The sequence below is a fragment of the Homo sapiens genome, chromosome 7 (assembly GCF_000001405.40).
Source record: "Homo sapiens chromosome 7, GRCh38.p14 Primary Assembly".
In the NCBI taxonomy this organism is placed as follows: Eukaryota; Metazoa; Chordata; class Mammalia; order Primates; family Hominidae; genus Homo; species Homo sapiens.
The window spans coordinates 65,040,280-65,065,983 of NC_000007.14; the positions used below are offsets into that span (position 1 = coordinate 65,040,280).

General features: G+C 40.5%; 1 long non-coding RNA gene and 1 pseudogene across 2 annotated transcripts in view, besides 2 other annotated features; one reads left to right on the top strand and one right to left on the bottom strand.

The window, feature by feature from the left end:
• Window positions 1-25,704, top strand: part of CCT6P3 (chaperonin containing TCP1 subunit 6 pseudogene 3) — a 36,360-nt pseudogene that overhangs the window by 1,926 nt on the left and 8,730 nt on the right. The window contains exon 2 of the transcript NR_033416.1: window positions 24,720-24,854. The product of NR_033416.1 is annotated as a chaperonin containing TCP1 subunit 6 pseudogene 3 (transcript). The remainder of the gene's footprint in view (window positions 1-24,719; window positions 24,855-25,704) is intronic.
• Window positions 2,418-2,930: an enhancer, noted in NCBI's record as "NANOG hESC enhancer chr7:64503075-64503587 (GRCh37/hg19 assembly coordinates)". NCBI's record gives its function as "activates a minimal SCP1, AML or CMV promoter by ChIP-STARR-seq in primed H9 embryonic stem cells {active_cell/tissue: H9 hESC(primed)}" and the evidence as "EXISTENCE:reporter gene assay evidence [ECO:0000049][PMID:30033119]".
• Window positions 6,559-6,759: a silencer, noted in NCBI's record as "peak6536 fragment used in MPRA reporter construct". NCBI's record gives its function as "represses an SCP1 promoter by STARR-seq MPRAs in K562 erythroleukemia cells {active_cell/tissue: K562}" and the evidence as "EXISTENCE:reporter gene assay evidence [ECO:0000049][PMID:32103011]".
• On the bottom strand, window positions 16,852-21,217 carry LOC124901663 (uncharacterized). The gene is made up of 2 exons (XR_007060369.1): window positions 21,176-21,217; window positions 16,852-19,682 (listed from the first exon to the last, which is right to left on the bottom strand). It is a non-coding gene; the product is annotated as an uncharacterized LOC124901663 (long non-coding RNA).

Below are 25,704 nucleotides of genomic sequence, written 5' to 3' on the forward strand. Positions count from 1 at the left end.
AGTTTAATATGGAATTTAAGCAGAATTATTACCAATTTTAGATTTTTTTTTTTTTGAAACAAGTAGTCTATAATAAATGGACCTTTTAATATTGGGGCATGGAAAGAGTACTTACTGTATGCTTAAGTTCTTTTTTTTTTTTTTTTTTGAGACGGAGTCTTGTTCTTGTCACCCAGGCTGGAGTGCAATAGCATGATCTCGGCTCACTGCAACCCCCGCCTCCCAGGTTCAAGTGATTCTCCTGCCTCAGCCTCCCGAGTAGCTGGGATTGCAGACATCCGCCATCATGCCTGGCTAATTTTTGTATTTTTAGTAGAGATGGGGTTTCACCATATTGGTCAGGCTGGTCTCGAACTCCTGACCTCAGGTAATCCACCCACCTCTGCCTCCCAAAGTGCTGGGAATCAAGCATGAGCCACCGCGCCTGGCCTGCTTAAGTGCTTAAAATTGACTTGGCCGGGCACAGTGGCTCACGCCTGTAATCCCAGCACTTTGGGAGGCCGAGGTGGGTGGATCATGAGGTCAGGAGTTCAAGACCATCCTGACCAGCATGGTGAAACCCTGTCTCTACCAAAAATACAAAAATTAGCTGGGTGTGGTGGCATGTGCCTATAGTCCCAGCTACTTGGGAGGCTGAGGCAGGAGAATTGCTTGAACCTGGGAGGCAGAGGTTGCAGTGAGCCAAGACCACACCATGGCACCCCAGCCTGGGCAACAGAATGAGACTCCATCTCAAATAAATAAATAAATAAATAAATAAAAATAATTTAAAAAATTGACTTTTCTTTAAAAAGGTGTATTTAGCATACACTCTAAATATTCTCATAGTTATATCCTGCTAGAGCTGCGTGTTTGTGCATAAAACATCAAGTAGTATATTAAAAATATGTATAAGTACATGTAAGACTAAAGGTAACTGGATCTCTTTATAGTTTTAAATGTGAATTTAATATGTTGTGACTGAAAGTGATGTTTCATTGTGTAGCTGTGGACGTAAAATAGTTTAACTTAGATGCTTGCCAAAGGAGGGTAGGTAAAAATAAGATTTGCTAATAAGAAGAGTAGATAACTTATTTGCCATGTATACAGTGAAATTAAGAAATTTGTTCAATTTGATCAGCCTGTTTATAAACTACTTGCAAAAATCAAGTAGCTTATAAACTACTCATTTAATAAATGAATTTACAAATCAACTTGTTTTGCAGGTAGTTTATAAGCAGGCTGATCAAAATCACATATGTATATATATATATATAATCACATATATGTACATATATAGACTCATTTTCTTTTGGAAGTGCGTAGACAAAACATCATTGAAAGTTTTTATTTTGTCAAGCTGAAGGATACTTTTCTTTTTTTTTTTTTGAGACAGAGTCTTGCTCTGTCGCCCAGGCTGGAGTGCAGTGGCGCGATCTCGACTCACTGCAACCTCCACCTCCCGGGTTCACTCCATTCTCCTGCCTCAGCCTCCTGAGTAGCTGGGACTACAGGCGCCCGCCACAATGCCCGGCTAATTTTTTCTATTTTTGGTAGAGACGGGGTTTCACCATGTTAGCCAGGATGGTCTCAATCTCCTGACCTCGTGATCCGCCCTCCTCGGCATCCCAAAGTGCTGGGATTACAGACGTGAGCCACCGCGCCTAGCCTGAAAGAGACTTTAAATGAAAGCTGATTATTGGACACCTCAAGTTAGTTTCTTTTGAGTAGTGATTGCCGTGTAGCAGTAGTACTCAAATATGTAACTCTTTTAGGAAAACAAAGTTTAAGTCCAGAGGAAAGTTAACAGATAAAGATTCTGAAGAAAGTCATCTTCCAGGATCCAGAGTCAGCACGTGGTTTTGGATTGCTCAAACTCACTTTATTCTCATTTCACAAGCCCTAAGTGTCTTAATCCAAACACAATAAGGTAGAGATTAATGAGAGAATCTTGAGAGGCAGGTGTTATCTGTGTGTAAAGTCCTCTATTATTTTGGGGAGGCATAATGATGGAAAGTTCCAGATTTTATATTTCTAAAGAAATATTTCACTGAAATTAGTAGGCTACAATAGAAATGCTGATTTTTCAATTCTACCAGGTACAGCCAATAAAAACAATAACACACCACTATCTCCTGTCATCATCGTTTCATTTAACAAAAGGATATTTCCATTCAAACAATTTGAAAGAACAGAATCTCTCAGAATAGAAGATTTTTAAATGGAATCATTTAGCTATATGGAAAAGTTTACTTTCCGACCAGCCTGGCCAACATGCTGAAACCCCGTCTCTACTAAAAACACAAAACGAGCTGGGCATGGTAGCATGCACCTGTAATCCCAGCTACTCGGGAGGCTGAGGCAGGAGAATCACTTGAACCTGGGATGTGGAGGTTGCAGTAAGCCGAGATCGCGCCATTGCACTCCAGCCTGTGTGACAGAACGAGACTGTCTCAAAAAAAAAAAAAAAGTTTACTTTCGTGTCCTTACTTTTTCCCATTTTCCCATAAATCGGTGAAAACTCTGCTGCAAACCTGCACCAGCCTGCCAGCTAACATTCAGTTAGCAGTCCCTGCCCCTTGGTTTGGTACACTGAGCTCAAATCTAAGGGATCTGGGTGGGCTACCACCTCTCCCAGTTCTTAGGCTTGTGGCCTTATCTTCATGGTGCCTCAGTTTCTTATGTTAAATAGGGCTTTTAACACCTACTTAGGGCCTGGTGCAGTGGCTCACACCTGTAATCCCAGCACTTTGGGACGCTGACACCTGGCAGACCTCTTGAGCTCAGGAGTTTCAGACCAGCCTGGGCAACAGGGCAAAACCGTGTCTTTACAAAAAATACAAACGTTAACCGGGCATGGTGGCGCATGCCTGTATTTCCAGCTTCTTGGGAGGCTGAGGTGTGAGGATCACTTGAGCCTGAGAGGCAGAGGTCTGCAGTGAGCCATGATGGTGCCACTGCACTCCAGCCTGGGTGGTAGAGAGAGACCCTGTCTCAAAAAAAGAAAAACAAAAAAACCTACTTTGCCAGATTAGTGTTATGATGAAAAGTGATACATGTATGTTCCTGAAATAAAGCCTGTCCTCAGTTATAGCTGTTACCATTGATTGGAGATGTTCTTTTTTTTCCAGTGTTTGATAATAAATGCCTTTAAGTTAAGTTTCTTGTACATACTTGTTTATATCTTTAAACATTAATTGTTTTAATGTAGTTTATTGCTGACTTCATAGCATAGTATAAAGATGTGTTCATTTAAAACAATTTTGAAGTTGTGCAAGAGAAACTAATATGCAGAATATTCTTTTTTTTTTTTCTTTTTAGATATGGAGTCTCGCTGCTCTGTCACCAGGACTGGAGTGCAGTGGCATGATCTCAGCTCACTGCAACCTCCACCTTCCGGGTTCAAGTGATTCTCCTACCTCAGCCTCCCAAGTAGCTGGGATTACAGGCGCCCACCACCATGCCCGGCTAATTTTTGTATTTTTAGTAGAGACAGGGTCTTGCCATGTTGGCCAGGCTGGTCTTGAACTCCTGACCTCAGGTGATCTGCCTGCCTCAGCCTCCGAAAGTGCTGAGATTATAGGCATCAGCCACCGCGTCCGGCTGTAATATGCAGAATATTCTATGTAGGTATTTTCTATATATAAGACCCCCTCTAAGAAGGGTTTCTATGTAAGAATAGTACAAATGATCTGGAAAGGTTAATAGGCTTGACAAATCTACGTTTCTTAAAACTGTAAAAATAGTCCAGTTGTCCTATGGTATATGTAAAGAACATATACCATAGGGGATTGGTTCCAGGACCCCTGTTTTTACTGAAATCCTGGCATACCCAAGTCCACACTGTGGGCCCTGCAGAACCTGAATGTGAAAATTTGGGCCTCCATATATGCCGGTTTCGGTCTGCATTTGGTTGAAAAAGATCCACATATAAGTGAGCTCACGCAGCTTAAACCCGTGTTGTTCAAGGGTCCACTGCATTTGAAAATCAAGTCCATAAAAAAGTTGCCTTATTTTACAAAATGTTGGATTACTACCTCTCCCGTATCTTAAAAGTACCATCTATTTACTATCCCATTGAGATAATAAAACTTTTAGAATTAGAATAGAACCTAGGGCTGGGCATAGTGGTTCACGCCTGTAATCCCAGCACTTTGGGAGGCTGAGGTGGGTGGATCACCTGAGTTCAGGAGTTCAGGACCAGCCTGGCCAATATGGTGAAACCCCCTGTCTACTAAAAATACAAAAAATTAGCCGGGCGTGGTGGTGGGCACCTGTAATTCCAGCTACTCGGGAGGCTGAGGCAGGAGAATTGCTGGAACCCGGGAGGTGGAGGTAGCAGTAAGCCGAGATTGTGCCACTGCCCTCCTGCCTGGGCAACAAGAGGGAAACTCTGTCTTTAAAAAAAAAAAAAAAAAGAACCTAGAACTATTTACTGCTCCTTGCTTTGTCTGAGACTCAGAGGTTAAGTGACTTGCCCAAGGTAGCACAGGTAGTAGCAAATTGAGACTTGACACCTGGCTTCCAGAGTACTTATTTAAAGTCCCCTTTGCACCCCCATTTTAAAAATTAAATTCTTGGCCGGACACAGTGGCTCACGCCTGTAATCTCAGCACTTTGGGAGGCCGAGGTGGGCGGATCATGAGGTCGGGAGATCAAGACCATCCTGGCTAACATGGTGAAACCCCGTCTCTACTAAAAATACAAAAAAAAATTAGCCAGACATGGTGGCGCATGCCTGTAGTCCCAGCTACTTGAGAGGCTGAGGCAGGAGAATCACTTGAACCCAGGAGGTGGAGGTTGCGGTGAGCCGAGATCGTGCCACTGCACTCCGGCCTAGGTGACAGAGTGAGACTCTGTCTCAAAAAAAAAAAAAATTAAATTCTTGTCTAGGTAATGCATTCGCTGCTTCGGATTTGAAAGATAACAAAGCATGTACAGTGAAAAGTCTCCTTCATATCCCTTCCACCAAACAGACAGTTCTCCCTCTCAGTAGACCGCTGTGAAACTTTTCAGAGCCGTTTGACACATAGACAAACATCCATGTGACCATATGATTCCCTTTTTTTAACATGGGTGTATCGTGTATGCGTCCTTATTGATAGCCTGCTTTTTGCTTGGCATTTGTTCCATTGCTCCCATACTTTAAATGCTTATGTTCATATTTAGTGAAATGTTAATAACTGCTAGTACGTAAAAGAGAATTTGTTCTAGTAGTTTTGACTAACCAAGATAAATTTCAGAAATAAAATTCTTAACATTATCATTGTTTCTTGGTATGGAAATTTCAGAAGCAGGTTGAACTGAAAAGAGTCCAAGAGGAATAGAGAAATATCACAAGGAAGTGAATCTGGACTGTAGTAGAGATAAATGTTAATACTTACAGATAATGCTCACTATGTGCTAGGCAGTGTTCTAAATGTTTTGCATACATTATTGAAGTCTCTCAAGAGTCCCATGAGGCAGGTAGCTTTTATCACCATTTTACAGATGGGAAAACTGAGCCACTCAGACTAACATTTGATCCAGGTAGTACAGTGGCAGAGGCCTAATTCTAACCCACGCAGTCTGGCTCAAGAGTCCAAGCTCTTTACCACTACTCTTTCGTCTTCCTTTCTTCCTTTCCCTCCCACCCTCCTTCTTCCTTTCCTTTCCTTTCCTTTCTTTTCTCTCTTTCTTTTCCTTCCTTCCTCTTTAATTTTTTGAGACATTGTCTCACTCTGTCTCCCCAGGCTGAGTGCAGTGGTGCAATCATGGCTCACTGCAGCCTCAACCTCCCTAGGTCAAGTGATCCTCCCACCTCAGCTTCCTGAGTAGCTGGGTCTACAGTTGCGCACCCCACCATGCCTAGCTAATTTTTTCTATTTTTCATAGTGACCAGGTCTCACTTTGTTGCCTGAGTTGGTCTCAAACTCCTGGCCTCAAGCAGTCTTCCCACTTGGCCTCCCAAAGTGCTGAGATTACAGGTGTGAGCCACCACGCCCAGCCTTTTACCACTACTTTAAATTCCATTTAGATCTAATATTGATAGAGTGATAACCATATCAACCAGATTTTTAAAATATGCAAACGATGGTGCCAGTTTCTGTATCTGTGACAAAAATATATAGAGTTTGTATTATAGCTTTTACCTGTTTAGAGCACTCTTTGGAAAGGCAGGGAAATTACTGTGAAGGTATTGGTATTCCAGAAGTAAGTTCCTGGAGTGTTTTGCCTTCTAAGGTGTGAGGACGTGGTTTGTCACACCCAGTTAGCTATCAGATAGTGTAGTGAGCTATCCGGAAGACTTAGCAGGTTAGCCTAGGGAGGAAGGAGAAAGGGGTTCTGGGCACATGGAGGGAGGGGGAGGGAAAAGAGTTTGTTTTTGTCCTAGATTGGGGTAGCTTTTTCTGAGGGAGGCCTTGTCCTGTGGACCTGCTGCATATAAAGACAGGAGAATTGGACCTGAGGTGTGGTGCTAGCTAAAGCGCCACACAGATCTGGGAATTTAAGAGGAGTTCATTTCCTCAATCATTAGGAAGAACTTGAAGGGGTAGCAAACTGTGGTCATTTGAGAAGAATAGCAAGTGGTCATATTTGAATGTAACATACTCAACTGGGTTGGGAAAGAACCAGAATCTAGATCTTGCCCATAACAAGTGCAAAACCAGGCGTTCTTGTAAACCATGTACTCTTGTAAACACTGATAAGACATAGCACTGAGTCTTGGGCTTTTCTTCTATAAAGTTGTTGTACTGGTTGAGGATCCCTAATCCAAAAATCCAAAATCTGAAATGCCCCTGTGAGCATTTCCGTTGAGTGTCATATTGGCACTCAAAGTTTTGGATTTTGAACCATTTCAGATTTTGGACTTTCAGATTTGGGATGCTCAACCCGGTATATAATGCACATATTCCCAAATCTGAAAAAATCCCAAATCCAAAGTATTTCAGCTCCAAAGCTGTTTCAGATAAGGAATACTCAACCTGTACTACATTGTACTAGGCTTGTATTAGATTCCCAGTTTTCAAAATTTGTATCTCAGAATCCCTGTTCTCTGTCAATGAAACAGGGATTTCATACACCTTTGATTCACATTTTAATGTTTTAACTTTAAAATATTATAAATGTTTAAACACAGTCAAATGCATCTCATGCTAAATTTTAATATATTAGAGACAACTGATTTGTACTGCCAGGTTATCTCAAGAGAGTTATACTGAGTGAAAACAAGTGAGAACCCTAGAAGGTTATATACTGTATGATTGCATTTATGTAACATTATTGAAATAACAAACCTGCAGAGATGGAGAACAGATTTAGTGGTTGCTAGGAGTTAGGAATGGGAGGTGAGGGGTGGTGTGGTTATAAAGTGGTAGCATGAGGGAGCTGTGTAGGGATGGAACAGTTCTGTGTCTCAGGTGTGATTATACAAAGCTGCAAACGTGATAAAAACTTCATACAACCACACACACACATACTGCATATAAATCCTAGCGTACTCAAGTCCCATTTGCATACAAAACTGGTGAAACCTGAATAAACTCAGGATTGGAGGAATTTGGGCGAGGGTACTTGGGACCTCCCTGTGTACTTTTTTGTAAATTCCTGTGATTTATAGTTATAGTAATTTTAAAATAAAAAGTTGGCCAGGCACGGTGGCTCATGCCTGTAATCCCAGCACTTTGGGAGGCTGAGGCGGATGTATCACGTGAGGTCAGGAGTTCAAGACCAGCCTGGCCAACATGGTGAAACCCCATCTCTACTAAAAATACAAAAATTAGCCGGGCATGGTAGTGGGTGCTTGTAGTCTGAGCTACCTGGGAGGCTGAGGCAGGAGAATCACTTGAACCTGGGAGGCAGAGGTTGCAGTGAGCTGAGATCATGCCACTGCACTCCAGCCTGAGCGACAGAGCAAACTCTGTCTCAAGAAAATAAAATAAAATAGACTGGGTGCAGTGGCTCACGCCTGTAACCCCAGCACTTTGGGAGGCTGAGGTGGGTGGATCACCTGAGGTCAGGAGTTGGAGACCAGCCTGACCAACATGGTGAAACCCCATCTCTACTAAAAATACAAAATTAGCCGGGCATGGTGGTGCATGCCTGTAATCTCAGCTACTCGGGAGGCTGAGGCAGGAGAGTTGCTTGAACCCAGGAGGCGGAGGTTGCAGTGAGCCAAGATCACGCCATTGCACTCCAGCCTGGGCAACAAGAGTGAAACTCCATCTCAAAAATAAAATAAAATAAAATAAAAAGTAAAAAAGCACACACAAAAAAGTGCATTTAGAATATTTGAGAGAAAATAAGCAAAAGGAAGAAAATGTAAATTATCTATAATGCTTACACCCAGGACAACAATCCTTGGAATAGAGTGTCTCACTTTGTATATAGAAATGAAACTTTTAAAATGCCATTTTATTTTTTAATTAAAATTTTTTCTTTCCTTTTTTTTCCTCAGAGTTAGAAAGGATAAAAATGTTATTGATTAGTAAGACTGTATCTTTATGTTGATATTTTGAAATTTTAGGCTAGTGCTTGTTTGTTCATATAACATTATATAAGCACATTCAGTACTATTAGAACTGTTGCATTATGCAATAACATGACTGCCTAATGCATATATCAGGATTAGTACATATTGTAAAGTTTTTATTTTTTACCAAAATGTTTACGACTACCAAGTATTCATTCCTTAACACTATTACATAATTAATTTAGAAATGTTTTACTTTTAAAACTTCTGGATAGGTGTAATTAAATTCTTAGATAGCGTTAATGTACTATTTAAAAAACACACACAAAACATTATCATTTGTAAAACATGCTTTATCATCTATTCATCTTTGTGAATCCGGTTTTTCTTGATACCATGCCATCAAAACAAATTTGACATAAGACTGCCCAATCATCCATAATTTAAAGTTGGTGTTTGTCAGAAGAATTTTATTGTTCTCATTATACATGTTATACATTTGAGCTTTTTTTTTTTTTTTTTTTTTTTTTTGGAGATGCAGTCTCACTCTGTCACCCAGGCTGGAATGCATGCAGTGGTGCCATCTCGGCTCAATGCAACCTCCACCTCCCAGCTTCAAGTGATTTTCCTGCTTCAGCCTCCTGAGTAGCTGGAACTACAGGCACGTGCCACCATGCCTGGCTTTTTTTTGTGTGTATGTTTTTACTAGAGATGGGGTTTCACCATGTTGGTCAGGCTCGTCTCGAACTCCTGACCTCAAATGATCCACCCCCCGCCTTGGCCTCCCAAAGTGCTGGAATTACCGGCATGAGCCACCACACCCGGCCACGTTTGAGCTTTGAAATACATTGATAGAATAAAATACTGCTTTATTCTTTTTTTGTTTGTTTTTTGAGATGGAGTTTCACTCTTTAACCCAGGCTGGAGTGCAGTGGCAGGATCTCAGCTCACTGCAACCTCTGCCTTCCAGCTTCAAGTGATTCTCCTGCCTCAGGCTCCCGAGTAGCTGGGATTACAGGCACCTGCCACCAAACCCTGCTAATTTTTGTATTTTTAGTAGAGATGGGGTTTCACCATGTTGGCCAGGCTGGTGTCGACCTCCTGACCTCGTAATCTGCCCTCCTCAGCCTCCCAAAGTGCTGGGATTACAGGTGCAAGCCACCACACCCAGCCTAATCTGTTTCTTATGTTATAGATGCACATAAAATTTCATTTAGAAAAATGTTCTTGTACTACAATATTTAAAGCTATTGAATTATGATTCATAAGTTTTATTTTGTAGTTAGCATCTCTAGGGGAATTTCAGGGACACTGTTGGCTGTCTTGTGATTACCGATCCTTTTAAAAACTCGTTGTATTTGAGAAGTAAAATAGTAGAATATATATGACAAAATCGGGAATTAAAGTAGACAGTATACTCAATTCCACTGTGTTTAAAGAGTTTGATTAATTTCTATACATTGTGCCAGTGGTTAAGATCTGGGACTCTAGAGTCAACCTGAGTTGAAATCTTGGCTCTGTCACTTGATCTCTTGTCTCAGCTTCTTCCTCCATAAAATGAGGGTAGTAATAGCGTTAACTCATAGGATTATTGTGAATATGAAGTGTACCAGTACATGTAAATAGTCCTGGTGTCTGGCATAAAGGTACTCATAAAACATAGTTACTATTATTTTAGAACATGGTTTAGATCTTCCTGTATGTTTAATTTGTCTTTTCCTCACTTAACATATCACGGCAGGGCACGGTGGCCATAATCCCAGCACTTTGGGAGGCTGAGGCAGGTGGATCATCTGAGGTCAGGAGTTTGAGACCAGCCTGGCCAACGTGGTGAAACCCCATCTCTACAGCCTGGCCAACGTGGTGAAACCCCATCTCTACTAAAAATACAAAAATTAGCTGGGCATGGTAATGCACACTGATGGTCCCAGCTACTTGGGAGGCTGAGGCAGGAGAATTGCTTGAACTGGGGAGGCAGAAGTTGCAGTGAGCCGAGATCATGCCATTGTACTTCAGCCTGGGCGACAGAGTGAGACTGTCTCAAAAAAAAAGAAAATATTACCACTATTTTCCCATGTTGTTAAAAATTCCACCAGTAATGGAAGAGAATATTGGGTGCCCTGTGCCCTTGCCAAATTGGGCATTCTCATTTTTTAGATATTTGCCAATATGATTTATGAAAATTGTCATGTTATTGTTTTGATTTGCATTTTCCCCAAGCATCAGCAAGATTTAATGGTTTCACATTTAAAAAATTTATTTTTTAATTTATAATCACCTTGTTTGATAATGAGGTTTTCATGTTTTTATTAACTGTGTTTCTTCTCCTGCCTGGATAAATTTTAGAATTTTTCACATCGATTTAGACGAATGCTAGTACAAAGGTTTTTTTAAGTCTATGATAATTTTAATGATTTTTCTTGGTAATTTTTGTCTGTAGATTCAAGTTCAGACAGGCACTTCCCATTCTGATATTGTGTAAATATATGTAATTTGTTAGTTCTGAAAAACATGACTTCTTTAACCTCCTAGAATGTAGTTTACTGGGTGTTACATGAATCTACAACATAATTTTTGTACAGACAAAAATTTTGCATTTCTTCTGGATATTGCCTGTTCATACCTTTGCCCATTTTTTCCCTTTCTGGGTTGTTTATCTTTTCTTCTTATTGCTTTATAGGAGTTCTTTAGATGTCACAATGGTTAATCTTTTGTTATATGTGTTACACATTTTCTCTTCATTTGTTATTTGTCTTTTAATTTTGTGTTATGGTGTCTTTACATAGAAGTGTTAACTTAGGTGGTCAGATCTTTCACTTAAAAAAATTCTTCATTATTCAACTGGAAAATCTTTCACATATTTATAGTTTTTTTTTTTTTCTGGTTTAGCAAAATCTCTACCATCCCAAGATTATCTTTAAAATATTTTCATATACTTTATATGAAAAAATTTTTTTCACACTGAGCTCTTTTAGTTTGTATGGAATTTCCTTTTGTATCTAGTGTAAGGGTAGGGATCTAAATTTTTCCTAAATGGATAGGCTTTTGCCTCTCTCAGTTCATTGACTTGTTCATATTTCAAATGCCACAAGGCTTTTCTGCATACATAAGGCCTCTTTCTGGATTCTCAGTTCTGTTCCAGTGACAGGTCGGTCTGTGTTTATTCCATTACCACCCCTCCCCCGTGGCTTTTTATAGAAGTTTGATATCTGATAGGGCAAATATGCTCATTTCCAAATTTTTCTTTGCTATTGTCATGAATTTACTGTTTCCGGTGAATTTTAGAATAATTTTGATGAGTTCTAAGACAAATCCCACTGAGATTTTGATTAGAATTGTGCTAAATTTATAGACGAATATGGGAAGGAGTCAGTTCTCACTAGCAGGTCTTTCCATCAAGGAGCATATTGTATCTGTTTATTCTGGAATTGCCTCTCTGATAACGGTTTTAACTTAGATGCTCATTGTGGCATTGTTTTGTTCTAAACACATGTATTACAAAGATAGTGTTAGAGTAAATTAGTTGAGGGAAAAGCCTTATATCATCTATCCCTGTTTTCATTTCTCTTTTCACCTTTACTTTTGGTCTAAAGAGTCTTTATCATGATATATGGTATATGTATACTCAGGTTCTTGTAATAATCGGCAGTATATTATGATCTCTTTTTCTTATAGTCATTAATTTAATGATTAAGGACCATTTAATCAAGTTGATACCTGTACTTAACTCTTATTGTTAGATATGAAGGATGTTTCCAGTTTCTGAAGGTACACATTGAGATAGTGCCTTTACTTTTGTTTTATTTGAAAAATGTTTCAGGAGGGGTTGTTTTATTTTTTCAAAAAACCTCTTTGAGGTAATACGCAATTGTTGTGAAAATGTCATACAATATTGCAGCATATAAAGAAGAAGGTGCCTTTTGAGAAGGTGAGAGCTTTTTGTTTTTTTATTTTTTTATTTTTTTGAGATGGAGTCTCACTCTGTCGCCCAGGCTGGAGTGCAGTGGTGCGATCTCGGCTCACTGCCACCTCCGCCTCCCGGGTTCACGCCGTTCTCCTGCCTCAGCATCCCGAGTAGCTGGGACTACAGGCGTCCGCCACCACGCCTGGCTAATTTTTTATATTTTTAGTAGAGACAGGGTTTCACCATGTTAGCCAGGATGGTCTCAATCTCCTGACCTTGTGATCCACCCACCTTGGCCTCCCAGAGTGCTGGGATTACAGGCGTGAGCCACTGTTTTTGTTTTTTTTTTTCTGAGACAGAGTCTTACTCTGTCACCCAAGCTGAAGTGCAGTGGCGCAATCTTGGCTCACTGAAACCTCTGCCTCCCGGGTTCAAGCTATTCTCCTGCCTCAGCCTCCCAAGTAGCTGGGATTACAGGTGCATGCCACCACCCCTGGCTAATTTTACATATTTTTAGTAGAGACGGGGGTTTCACCGTGTTAGCCAGGATGGTCTCGATCTCCTGACCCCATGATCTGCCCGCCTTAGCCTCCCAAAGTGCTGGGATTACACGCATGAGCCACCATGCCTGGCCGGGAAGGTAAGAGTTTTGTTCTCTAAACTTTCAGTCATTGGAGTACCTCCTTGTTACTTTTGCCATATGCTTGTATCATCTGTACTGTTAATTCATAACACTTTTCTTAAAATTTACTAAAGAAACCCAGAAATCCTTAGTGATAAGAGCTGTGAACTCTTGATCTATATTAGATAAATACATAACTTTGATATTATGTACATTGCTGTATATTAAAGAAATATAACATTGATCCATATTAAATAAATGAGTTTTTCAAAAGTATGTATACTTTATGACACACTGGCACAGTGAGTGGAAGTGTAGGTTCTGAAATCAAGGTTTCGTGGTTTTAGATCCTAATTGTGCTATGTCCTCCCTCAGTGATACTAGATAATAAACTTAAGCCTCCACTTCCATTTTATTTGTTAAATGAGGTTAGTATGCCACCTGCCTTGTAAGGTTATTGTAAAATTAAACAGCAAGTGTACAAGCAGTCAGCACAGCCCTAGTACATAGGTGTTGCACAAATGCTATCATTCAATAGAATAATTTGTAAATACCTTGCGCCTCCTTCAAAGTTAGTTCTCACACAAGCATCTCATTTTTAAAGTGTTTACATAGTATATATTGTAAGAATGTATTGTGATTTATGAAACATAGCCTTTTTAAATTTTGTTTCTTTCTGTCATTTAAAAATAAAAGCAACAAATAACAGGATAGCTTCCTACTATGTATCACCATATTTCCCTCCCAAAGGACTGTACTAATTTGCTGTTCTGTCAGTTTAGACTTTATCACTTAAATATTTGGTGAGGGGTGATAGTGGGTTTAAAAATAAAAGTTGTTTTTGTTTTAGTTAACATTTTATTATTATTCACCAGCCATTAAGGAACACATTAATTACTATTTATTCTTTCTTGTTGAATCTGTGCAATTTTCTGAGAAGTAGGTAAACCCGCCCCTGTGTGTGTATGTGTCTGTGTGTGTGAGATGCAATTTGTGTGGTGCTAGAAATTGAGAAATTATGGTAATTTCTTATTATTCTGGTCAGGGATCCCTGGAATATCAAAATTGTCTGCAATCTATAGCCACTATTTTCAAGTCTATAGGGTCCCTGGGAGAAATATTTATATTAAATATTTGCACTGACAAATGGACAACAAAAGGACTCTACATTTTATTCTTAACTAGGACTTGGGCACCAAACTCCAGGGTAAAAGACTGGAATGAACCCAGCTGGTTCAGGTGGAAATGCTGTTTTTTTGGAATCTAGTTAAGCTTAAATTGTTTCAAACTAAAGCAGGCCATGAGATGAACCCTTTTCATCTTCCCAGTTCTCAAACACACTGAGATCTTCCCCACATTTCACTCCTTTCTGTCAGTTGCTTGAGGTCATGTAACCAGAGTGAGCCCATTTGCCCTGGCTGACTGCTGATCTGGCCTTGGACACCTGCCCTGGCCTCTTCTACCCAAGCTGCAGGTTTGGCCCTGTCTCTCCCTTACTGCGGTGGTGAGGGGGGTGCAGGGGGGAGTTGACAACCTTCTTAACCACTTCAGTCACATGAAAGAAGCAGACAAGTGAGCTCGCATCTGTGTACTGACCTTTTAACAGTGATGCTGCCCAGTACACTCAGACCCAATCAGTGTTCTCATATCTGCCTTCCTCCTTCCTGAGAATTAGGAGAAAGAAGAGCTCAGCCTTGATTTCTTACCTCAAAAGACAGCAAAAAAAAAAAACTTGCAGCCATTCTCAGAAATATTGGTTTTCTGTTGGGTTGTTGCTTGTGTCAAGTCAGCCAGAAAGAGGTGGAGTAAAAACTAGCCTGCTGAGTAGTACACATAATCCATGTCCCCCTCTAACCCCCCAACTACACATCAACCTGCAGGGAGTGACTTCTTACTCTTGAGACGCTCTTTCCTCTTGCTTAATGGTTCGTGACAGTTCTTCATTTTCCTCCTACCACTCTCAATTTTTTTTTTTTTTTGCTGGCTTATTCTGTATCTGGCCATTAAATGTTGATGTCCCACCAAGCAGCCTTAGGCCCTTCTGTCATTCTTCTTTCCCTTAACAGTCACAGCCATGTCCATGGTCTCACTCATGGGTGAATCCAACATTTTTATCTCTACCCCAACCTCTGCTATTGAGTACTTCATTTGCTAATATCTAATTGCCTACTAGACATCTCTACTTAGATGTCCCAAAACTAATAAATTCAGTATGTCCAAGATTTATTTCATACTCTTCCTCCAAAAATGCTGTTGGCTATCTCAGTGAAAGGCATCACCACCTAAGCAATTGTGCAAGTCAGAAACCTGGGACTTGTCCATGATTCTCTTCCTCCCCTCCCCCACCAAATTCAATCAATCACCAGGCCCCATTGATTGTTTTTCACGTTCTTTTATTGTGAACTATAACTTACAGAAAAATCATTGAGTGGTGCATCTTTTTGTTGTTGTAATCACCAAAGTATAACCCTGTAACCAACATTCCGGTCATTAAATAGACCAATGCCAGCACTCCAGAAAGCCCTCCCTTAACTTCCCCCTAATCAACTATATGCGTACGCCTTCTCAAAAGTTACCTCTGTCCTGACTTTTTATGGAATCATTTTCTTACTTTTCTAAGATCGCACCCAAACTTGGTAGTTTAGTTTTACTATTTGAACTTTATATAAATGGAGCCATTTAGTTTGTTTTCTTTACTTGGCTGCTTTCACTCAGTGTCATTTTGTGAGATTCACCTGTGTTTTATGGAGCTGTAGTTTGTGCATTAGTCATTGCTGAATAATACTCTATTATGAATATAACACAATTGATATATTCATTCTCTCTCTTTTTTTTGTTTTTGTTTTTGGAGACTGAGTTTCACTCTTGTCACCCAGGCTGGAGTGCAATGGCATGATCTCAGCTCACTGCAACCTCTGCTTCATGGGTTCAAGCGATTCTCCTGCCTCAGCCTCCCAAGTAGCTGGGACTACAGGTGCACACCACCACACCCGGTTAATTTTTTTTTTTTTTTTTGAGACAGAGTCTTGCTCTGTTGCCCAGGCTGGAGTGCAGTGGTGCGATCTCGGCTTACTGCAACCTCCACCTCCTGGGTTCACACCATTCTCCTGCCTCAGCCTCCCGAGTAACTGGGACGACAGGCTCCCACCACCATGCCCGGCTAATGTTTTTGTATTTTTAGTAAAGGCGGAGTTTCACCTTGTTAGCCAGGATGGTCTCTATCTCCTGACCTCGTGATCTGCCCGCTTTGGCCTCCCAAAATGCTGGGATTTCAGGCGTGAGCCACCACGCCCGGCCCCTAATTATTGTCTTTTTAGTAGAGATGGCATTTCACCATGTTGGCCAGGCTGGTCTCAAACTCCTCACCTCAGGTGATCCACCTGCCTTGGCCTCCCAGAGTGCTGGGATTACAGACGTGAGCCACCACATCCAGCCTTCACTCTCTTTTTGATGGATATTTGTCTCCAGTTTGCAGCAATTATGAATACTGCAGCTATAAACATTTTTGTATATCTTCAGTTTTACTTGGTAATGCCAGACTATTTTCCAAAGTGGTTGCACTAGTTTAGATTCCTACCAACAGTGTGTGAGAATTCCTGTTTATCCACCTCTTTGCCAAGGCTTAGAATTGTCAATCTGTTAAATTTTATTAACCATTCTGGTAGGTACATAATGGGTTTTTGTGTGTAACTGAGGTATATGTCATACACAATAAAAACAAAAATGTACAGCCTGAAGAGTATTTTACCTATAAATGTATCTATAACCACTACCCAGATGAAGATATAGGATATTTCCGTCACCCAGAAAGTTCTTTCATGGTAATTTCCAGAAAGAAGCTGCTATTCTAACCACACTGTTTTGACTTTGGCCACTATACATGCGTTTGGCCTGTTTTTGAACTTCATATGAATGGGCTCAGACAGTAAGGACTCTGCTGTGTCTGGCTTTTGCCCAGCATAATTTTTTTTTTTTTTTTTGCAATTTATCCAACTTGGCGGTGGTATGAGTTACTCTTTTTTTCTTGCTGAGTTCTGTTGTATGATTATATTACCCTTTGTTTATTCATTTTCTTATTGATTGTTTCTAGGTTTTGGCTATTGTGAATTAAGCTGCTATGAACATTCTCATATATACTAATTTCTCTTGTGTATATATCTAGGAGTGGATTTCTGGGTCATGGGATAGGTGAGTGTTTAACTTTATTAGAAACGACAGAGGCAAGAGGATCGCTTTAACCCGGGAGGCGGAGGTTGCAGTGAGCTGAGATCGCAACATTGCGCTGCACTCCAGCCGGGGCAACAGAGCAAGACCCCTCATCTCATAAATAAATAAACAAACAAACAGACAACCTAGACATGGCAAAAACTAGTATAAACAAAATTGGGACTCCAGTGATAAGCTGGGAAGAAATAGTTGCCATGCAGCATGTTCAAAGGGCTAATTTCCTTTAAAAAGCAAGATCGCTTGCTGATAGAAAAGACCAACAACTCAGTAGACAAGTGGGCACATTCAGAGACAGTTCAAAGGAAAGACAAGTGGCTCCTAAATGTATGAAATGATCCTCAGTTGCAGTCAATGTAAGAGTTAAGCAAATTGAAACTATACTGAAAGCATTTTAAAAATACCCGATTAACATGATTAAGAAGTTTGATTAGCTATTGACTAAGGTGTAGGAAGACAGCTACTTCCGTATATTAATGGTAAGTTTCTAAACTCTATGGAGAGCAGTTGAATAATATCCATTAAAATTTAAGAATGCACATACCTTATGTAGTGTAGTATAGTTTAGATCAGTTGTGATGTATTTACACAATGGGATATTATAGAGCAATAAGAATGAATGAATTACAGTTCACCCAACATGAATGACTCACAATCATAATGTTGGGTGAAAGAGCCAAACACAAATATAAATTCAAAAAAAGACAAAATTGTGGTGTTAGAAGTCAGGGTAGTATTACTCTTGGGGAGCTCACTGGATGGAGACATGAAGGGCTTTTGGAGGCTTATAATCTTTTTTTTTTTTTTAATCTCTGTGTTAGGTGTAATTATATTGAGAAAATTCATTAAGCTATGAACTTAAGAATTATGTACTGTTCTGAATGTATGCTATACTTCAATACACATTTTAATATAAATAAAAATAGTGTGTATACATCAAGTCACACATCACACACATCACACAATCACACATAAAGAATGCACATAACTTTTGTTTTAGCAGTTTCATCCTAGGCATGTAACATATATTTACACACACTCTTGTATATGTGGGGCTTAAAAATAGCATGAAGGTATTCATTGCTGTGTTTATAAGCACAAAAACTCATGCAAAACCTAATTACCCATTAGTAGGGAACTGGTAAAATAATTGATATAGTCATGCAGTAAATTTGTAGCAGGTTTTTTTTTTTTTTTTTTTTTTTTGAGACAGAGTCTCGCTTTGTTGCCCAGGCTGGAGTGTAGTGGCACGATCTTGGCTCACTGCAACCTCTGCCTCCTGGGTTCAAGCAATTCTCTGACTTAGCCTCCTGAGTATATGGGTTACAGGCACCTGCCATCATGCCCGGCCAATTTTTGTATTTTTAGTAGAGATGGGGTTTCACCATCTTGGCCAGGCTGGTCTTGAACTCCTGACCTCGTGATCCACCCACCTCGGCCTCCCAAAGTGTTGGGATTACAAGCATGAGCCACTACGCCCGGCCAGGTAGCAGCTCCTAAAAGGAGTAAGGCAGTTGTATATGAAGTAATTTAGAAAAGTCTCTAAGATACGTTAAATGAAAAGACCGAAGTGCATGAACAGTACGTGTAATATGCCACTGTTTGTGTATGGGTGTGTTTTATCTCTATAGGCATATATTTGCAAGCATATATAATTAGAATGTATTTCTAATGTATTCCCAAATGGAAAGATGGGAAGATATACTAACACTGGCTGTCTCTGAGGAGTGGAACCGAGTGGCCAGAAGGCAGAATTGGGTGATACTTTCTACACTAATTTGTGACTTAAAATTTTTAAAAATTTTTAATTGTGATAAAATACATGTAGCAAAACTTACTATCTTAAACATTTTTAAGGGTACTGCTCAGTAGTTTAAAGTATATTCATATTGTTGTACAACCAGCCTCCAAAACTTTTTCCTAGCCATTAAACAAGTACTTAATACTTCCCCTACCCTTGGCAGTCACCATTCTACTTTCTGTTTCTATGAATTTGACTACTCTAGATAGCTCATGCAAGTGGAATCATATAGTGTTTGTCCTTTTGTAACTGGTTTGTTTCACTTAGCACAATGTTCTCACGGTCCATACTATTTTGTGACTTTTGAATATTTTGTTTATTACCCATTTTCAAAAGAGCACTAAAGTAAAAAGACATGTCCTTATTCAGAGCTGGTTAATTACATGGTAAAAAGTTGATGGCTGGCATGTCTTATTCATTTCAACCAATATTAAATGCCAGTTTGGGCAGCAAAACAACTTTCTGCCAAAGCGCCATTTGAAGCCTAGTTTATGACATGTTTCTCCTTTTGTCATCTTTGGGTGCCACCCAAAATGCAGGCTCAAGGCCTCAGCCTCTTGACTCTCTTCAACAGTTTCCCCCCTTGGCTTATTGTCCAACTTTGGCCTACTCTTCCAAATCCACCTCTTTATCCCAGGAACAAGCGGCTTCTATGCCAAGGGCATGGCTTCCTCTTTGCAGATTGTCTCATATCTCTGACCTGGAAAAAAGGGGATTTTTCATTCTGCTAGCTGTTTAGTGCTGCTTTGAGATCATTATTCTAGAGCCCTCTGCAGTAATGTTTTTTCTCATGGATTGAAATTCATTGTTTCCAGTAGGATTTTTGACTAGATGTGGAAACAGAAGGACAAATTGAAATGACTCAAGCTTATGGGACGACTGAATATCATTAACTGGCACAGAGGGAGAAAGGCAGGCTCTAGGTGGAAGATATGTGACTTGCTTTTGAAAACAGTGGTGTGAGATTCTGGCCTGTGAAAACAGCTGGAGTTATGAGCTAGAAATGGGGACTTAAAAAATAGCTTCGTACCAGACATGGTGGCTCATGCCTGTAATCCCAGCACATTGGGAGGCTGAGACAGGCGGATCATCTTAGGTCAGGAGTTTGAGACCAGCCTGACCAACATGGAAAAACCCCATCTCTACTAAAAATACAAAAATTAGCCGGGCGTGGTGGTACATGACTGTAATCCCCGCTACTCGGGAGGCTGAGGCAGGAGAATCACTTGAACTCGGGCGGCAGAGGTTGCAGTGACCCAAGATCATGCCATTGCACTCCAGCCTGGGCAACAAGAGTGAAACTGTCACACACACACACACACAAAAATAGCTTCGTGTGTGTGTGTGTGTGTGCGCGCGCACGCACGCGTGTATGTGTATGTGTGTGTGTATTGAAAATACAGAAAAATAGCCAGGTGTGGTGGCTCATGCCTGTAATCCCAGCATTTTGGGAGGCTGAGGTGGGCAGATCACAAGGTCCGGAGATCGAGACAATCCTGGCTAACACGGTGAAACCCCGTCTCTACTAAAAATACAAAAAAATTAGCCAGGCGTGGTGGGCACCCGTAGTCCCAGCTACTCAGGAGGCTGTGAGGCAGGAGAATGGCATGAACCCGGGAGGGGTGGCAGAGCTTGCAGTGAGCTGAGATCGTGCCACTGCACTCCAGCCTGGGTGACAGAGCAAGGCTCTGTCTCAAAAAAAAAAAGAAAGAAAGAAAATATAGAAAAATAAAGAAAATGTTACCCACAAAACAGATCATCATTCTTAATACCTTAAGTGAATTAACTGCTGTTTTTTCCTCTGGTTGTATATGTATAAAACTACATATATAGCTGGGCATGGTGGCTCACGCCTGTAATCCCAGCACTTTGGGAGGCTGAGGCTGGTGGATCACTTAAGGCCAGGAGTTCAAGACCAGCCTGGCCAACAAGGTGAAACCCCATCTCTACTAAAAATACAAATATTAGAACTGGGTGTTGTGGCACATGCCTGTAGTCCCAGCTACTCGGGAGGCTAAGGCATGAGAATCGCTTGAACCCCAGAGGCAGAGGTTGCCCTGAGCCAAGATTGCACCATTGAACTCCTGCCTGGGTGACAGAGCAAGACTCTGCTAAAAATAATAATAAAAATAATAATAATAGAAGTACATACATAAATTTTAAAGTGTAGTAGAAATTATATTTTGTATTCACCCTTTTCCCCTCTGTGAATGAAGAAGTCCAAGGCCAGTCACGTAGACTTCTGCAAAAGAGGTTATGAATGAATTTGTGGGACTTGTTGAAATTTCACTGGTGAGATCCTACACAGATGGAGAAGAAAATGCGGCAAGAATAGGATTTTGGAAACTTGCCTAGAACTTTCAAGATTCAAGAATCAGAAATGATAATCAAAGAGGTAGGAGAATTAAGAGTTGAGTGTCAAACTAAGAAGAGCAAATTCCAAGAAAAAAAGGAGGAAAATTTTTTTTTGGTGTTATAAAGAGGTAGAGCTGGATGAAGGCTAAGCATTTAAATACTAAGTTGAGGGCATAGTGGCTGGCACGTGCCTATAATCCCAATGCTTTGGGAGGCCTAGGTGGGAGGATGCCTTGAGACCAGGAAATTGAAGCTGCAGTGAGTTATGAGCCAATGCACTCCAGCCTGGGTGAGAGTGAGACCCTATCTCAAAACAGCAACAACAACAAGATACAAATTGAGAAACTGTTACTTGATTTGCGATATATATTCTGTCCAGCAGTGATAGAATAACAAGGACTGGATTTACCTTGCTATTTTAAGCAACAATATATGAAATAGCAATTTGTGGGCATTGGGTAACAGGCAAAGCAAGACTGTGGTCACTGAAAGATGGGAAACAAACCTACTGAGCTCTATGGTTGCCCCAATTTATTATCTGGAGGTAGTTTTCAGGCTGCAGAGCAGGGATGGGGAAGTCAAATAGAGCATGGTGTCTTAGAATTGGGAGGACAAGATGGGGGTTGGCAGGAAGGGAAGGTTGTCATCATTCGTGGGGCAGAGTACCAGAGGGGTGGGAGTTGTACACAGAACTCCAGAGATAGGTGGAGGAGTCTCCTGAAATCTGGTTGAGTCCTGATCTACAGGTGCATGAGAGGAGAGCACCTGAGGCCAGAGAAAGAACCCCACTGGAAAGCAGCAGGCCAAACAATTCCTGGGACTCACACAGAGCTGGGAATAGTCTGTGTTCCCATTAGCCAGAGTATATGCAAGGGCATCAAAAGGGCATTGTAATGAGGCTAAATTCGCCCTAAGTTAAAGGCTACTCTGGATCTACTCTAACAATGAAAAAGCAAGTCTTGGAAGATACAGCCGATTTAAAGAATCTTACCTGTGTGTGAGAACAAAGTCCAGCCCTATTTAAAGAAAAACACAAAATCCAACACCCAAAACACAAAACTCATAATGTTTGGCATTCAGTAAAATGACCAAGCATGCAAAGAACCAGGAAAATATGATGTAATCAGGAGAACAATCAACAGAACTAGATCCAGAAATGACAGAGATGATGGAATTAACAGACGAAGACATGAAAACAGCAATTATAAATATGCTGTCAGTTCAAAAAAGTAGAGGAAATGGTTAACATAATGGAAAGAGAAGTGGAAGGTGTACTTTAAAAGTGACATGTAACAGTGACAGTAATAGTACTGACTGTGCCTGGAGTCTGACAGCCCTGTCTTTGAATCCCTGCTTTTTTGCCATTCACAGTCTGGGCTAAAGGACTGTAATTGTACATTAATTATAATAAAATTTGAAAAAGTAAGGGTGGTTGACACAATCACATGGGCAAAATGCATGAGGATGGTTTTTCTCTTTATGGTTTTTTTTAAAGACAGAATCTCACTCTGTCGCCCAGCCTGGAGTCCAGTGGTTCACTGCAACCTCCGCCTCCTGGGTTCAAGTGATTCTCCTGTCTCAGCCTCCCAAGTAGCTGGGATTACAGGCTTGCTCCACCATGCCCAGCTAATTTTTGTATTTTTTGTAGAGATGGTATTTCACCATGTTGGCCAGGCCGGTCTTGAACTCATGACTTCAGGTGATCCGCCTGAGTCAGCCTACCAAAGTGCTGGGATTACCAGGCATGAGCCACCACATCTGGCCAGGTTTTCTCTTTTTAAAACAGCAATTTCTCTGTTATGTCTCATCTCCATCTCCAACTGGAGGGGAGAGAAATCTCTTTGCTTTAACATTTTTAAAGTCTTAGGGGATGGAGAATATGAGATTATTGAAGGGAGTATGCATTTTACTCATCCCGAAATTCCCAAAACTTAGCAGTTCAAATCCAAGAAAGGGAAATGATTTCCTGCTGATTTGAGTTCAGAATAATTAGGGTTTTGCTAGTAGTATACCATGCTATCAACATCCAGATGAAATATCTTTAATAAAGACTTGCTAATCTAGGAGGTGTTTTTGTTTTTACTGGGTTCAGTGGTGGCCCATGTTAGCAGAAAAGTGGAGCCACGGTTAAACTTGACGTCAGAATTGTTTTGGGGCTGGGTGCAGTGGCTCATTCTTGTAATCTCAGCACTTTGGAAGGCCGAGGTAGGTGGATCACTTGAGGCCAGGAGTTCACGAACAGCCCTGGCCAACATGGTGAAACTCCGTCTCTACTGAAAATACAAAAATTAGCCAGGCATGGTTCTGTATGCCTGTAGTCCCAGCTACTCCAGAGGCTGAGGCAGGAGAATCGATTGCTTGAAGCTGGGAGGCTGAGGTTTCAGTGAGCCAAGATTGTGCCACTGCACTCTCCAGCCTAGGCGACAGAGTGAGACTGTCACCAACAACAACAAAAAAAATTATTTGGGTTTTAGTGTTTGAGAAATACAGCATAAGCACATAGAACATTTACAATTTAGGAAATAATTATGAAGTGGACACACACAACCACCATTGTAGTTAAGAAATAAATTGTTGCTACCACCTCAGAAGTCCCCTCCCACTGGAACCTCTCTCCAATCTCCAGAAGTCTGTTTTTCAGTTTTCATTGAAAAAATTACAAACCTGTGAAAATAATAATTATATTGTGTGTGCCCTTTACCTAGATTCACCAATTGTTTACATGTTGCTCCATTTCTTTTCTATTTTTCCTCTGAATCATTTGAAGGTAAGCTGCAGACATGTCATTTTACCTCTAAAATACAATTTTTTTCCGCTTTTTTTTTTTTTTTTTTTTTTAAGAGACAGGATTTTGCCATGTAGCTCAGGCTGGTTTTGAATTCCTGAGTTCAAGGGATCCATCTGCTGTGGCCTCCCAAAGTGCTGGGATTACAGGCATGAGCTAACGCACCTGACCTTTCCTTTTAAATTATTTGGCCATTGCAGAGTAACAGTGGAGGCTGCTGAGCTTTCATTTTAGGAGATACCTGGCTTATTGTCACTAGAGCCCTACACTTGCCTAAAGAGGCAAGGATGTAAAATTATCTGTTACTGTTAACTGTTAGCTGTCATCTTGAGTAAACTTTTACTGAGCCTCAAGCTTCCTCATCTGTAAAGTAGAGATAACCTGGGAAATAAATTACACATAAAAATGTTTCCATCATTATAATTTCATGCACGTGATAGCTAATTGTGACTTTTTAATCTTAGTAATTTGTAGCCAAACACTTGGGTAGCTTTTTCAAGTAGATAGTACTTAAAGAGGCCCTTCATGCATTTTATTTGTGGTATTTTTAGACTGTTTCATATTGTTTTAAGTGATTCATTCTTTTTCTACTTTCAGCAAATTCAACACCCAACAGCTTCCTTAATAGCAAAGGTAGCAACAGCCCAGGATGATATAACTGGTGATGGTACGACTTCCAACGTCCTAATCATTGGAGAGCTGCTGAAACAGGCGGATCTCTACATTTCTGAAGTATGCACAACTTTTTTTTGTTTTGTTTTTTTGAGATGGGGTTTTACTCTTGTTGTCCAGGCTGGAGTGCAATGGCATCTCGGCTCACTGCAACGTCCGTCTCCTGGGTTCAAGCAATTCCCAGCCTCAGCCTCCCGAGTAGCTAGGATTACAGGCATGCGCCACCACGCCCGGCTAATTTTGTATTTTTTGTAGAGACGGGGTTTCTCCACGTTGGTCAGGCTGGTCTCAAACTCCTGACCTCAGGTGATCCACCTGTCTTGGCCTCCCAAAGTGCTGGGATTAAAGGCGTGAGCCACCACGCCCGGCACACAACTCTTGTTTCTGTAATATTTTATTGTATATAGGATGTGTCAGATACTTATTTATACAAATTGATGTGTTAATACTAGCGGAGGCCATACAGTAGAATTAGGGGGCTTAAATCTGGGTCTTTGTCTTGGTCTAAAACAAATTTGTTGTGAGCTTGGACAGGTTATGGAAACTTTTTTGGCCTGAAAATAATTTTGTAATCAAGTTGAATTGCCTATGTGATTTGTATCTGTCTTTAGATTAATAATGGAGATTTTAAAATGGGATGTTTAGGACTAGGCATATTTATTTGTTAGGAAAAATACAACCAAAAGCTTACATTTAGATAAATTCCACTTTTTTAGCCCTGACTAGTTCCAAGGTTTAAAACAAACCTCAGTGACTACGAATCTATTGTCAGAATTTTCTGGTAAAAGAGAGCAGACAGTCTTTATTTATTTTTATTAGTAAATGATGTGAATTAGTTTGAGATTACCTATAGAAAAGATAGAATAATGCTACCATCTGTGAGTTGTTGGGACACAGTGTCGGTTTTGAC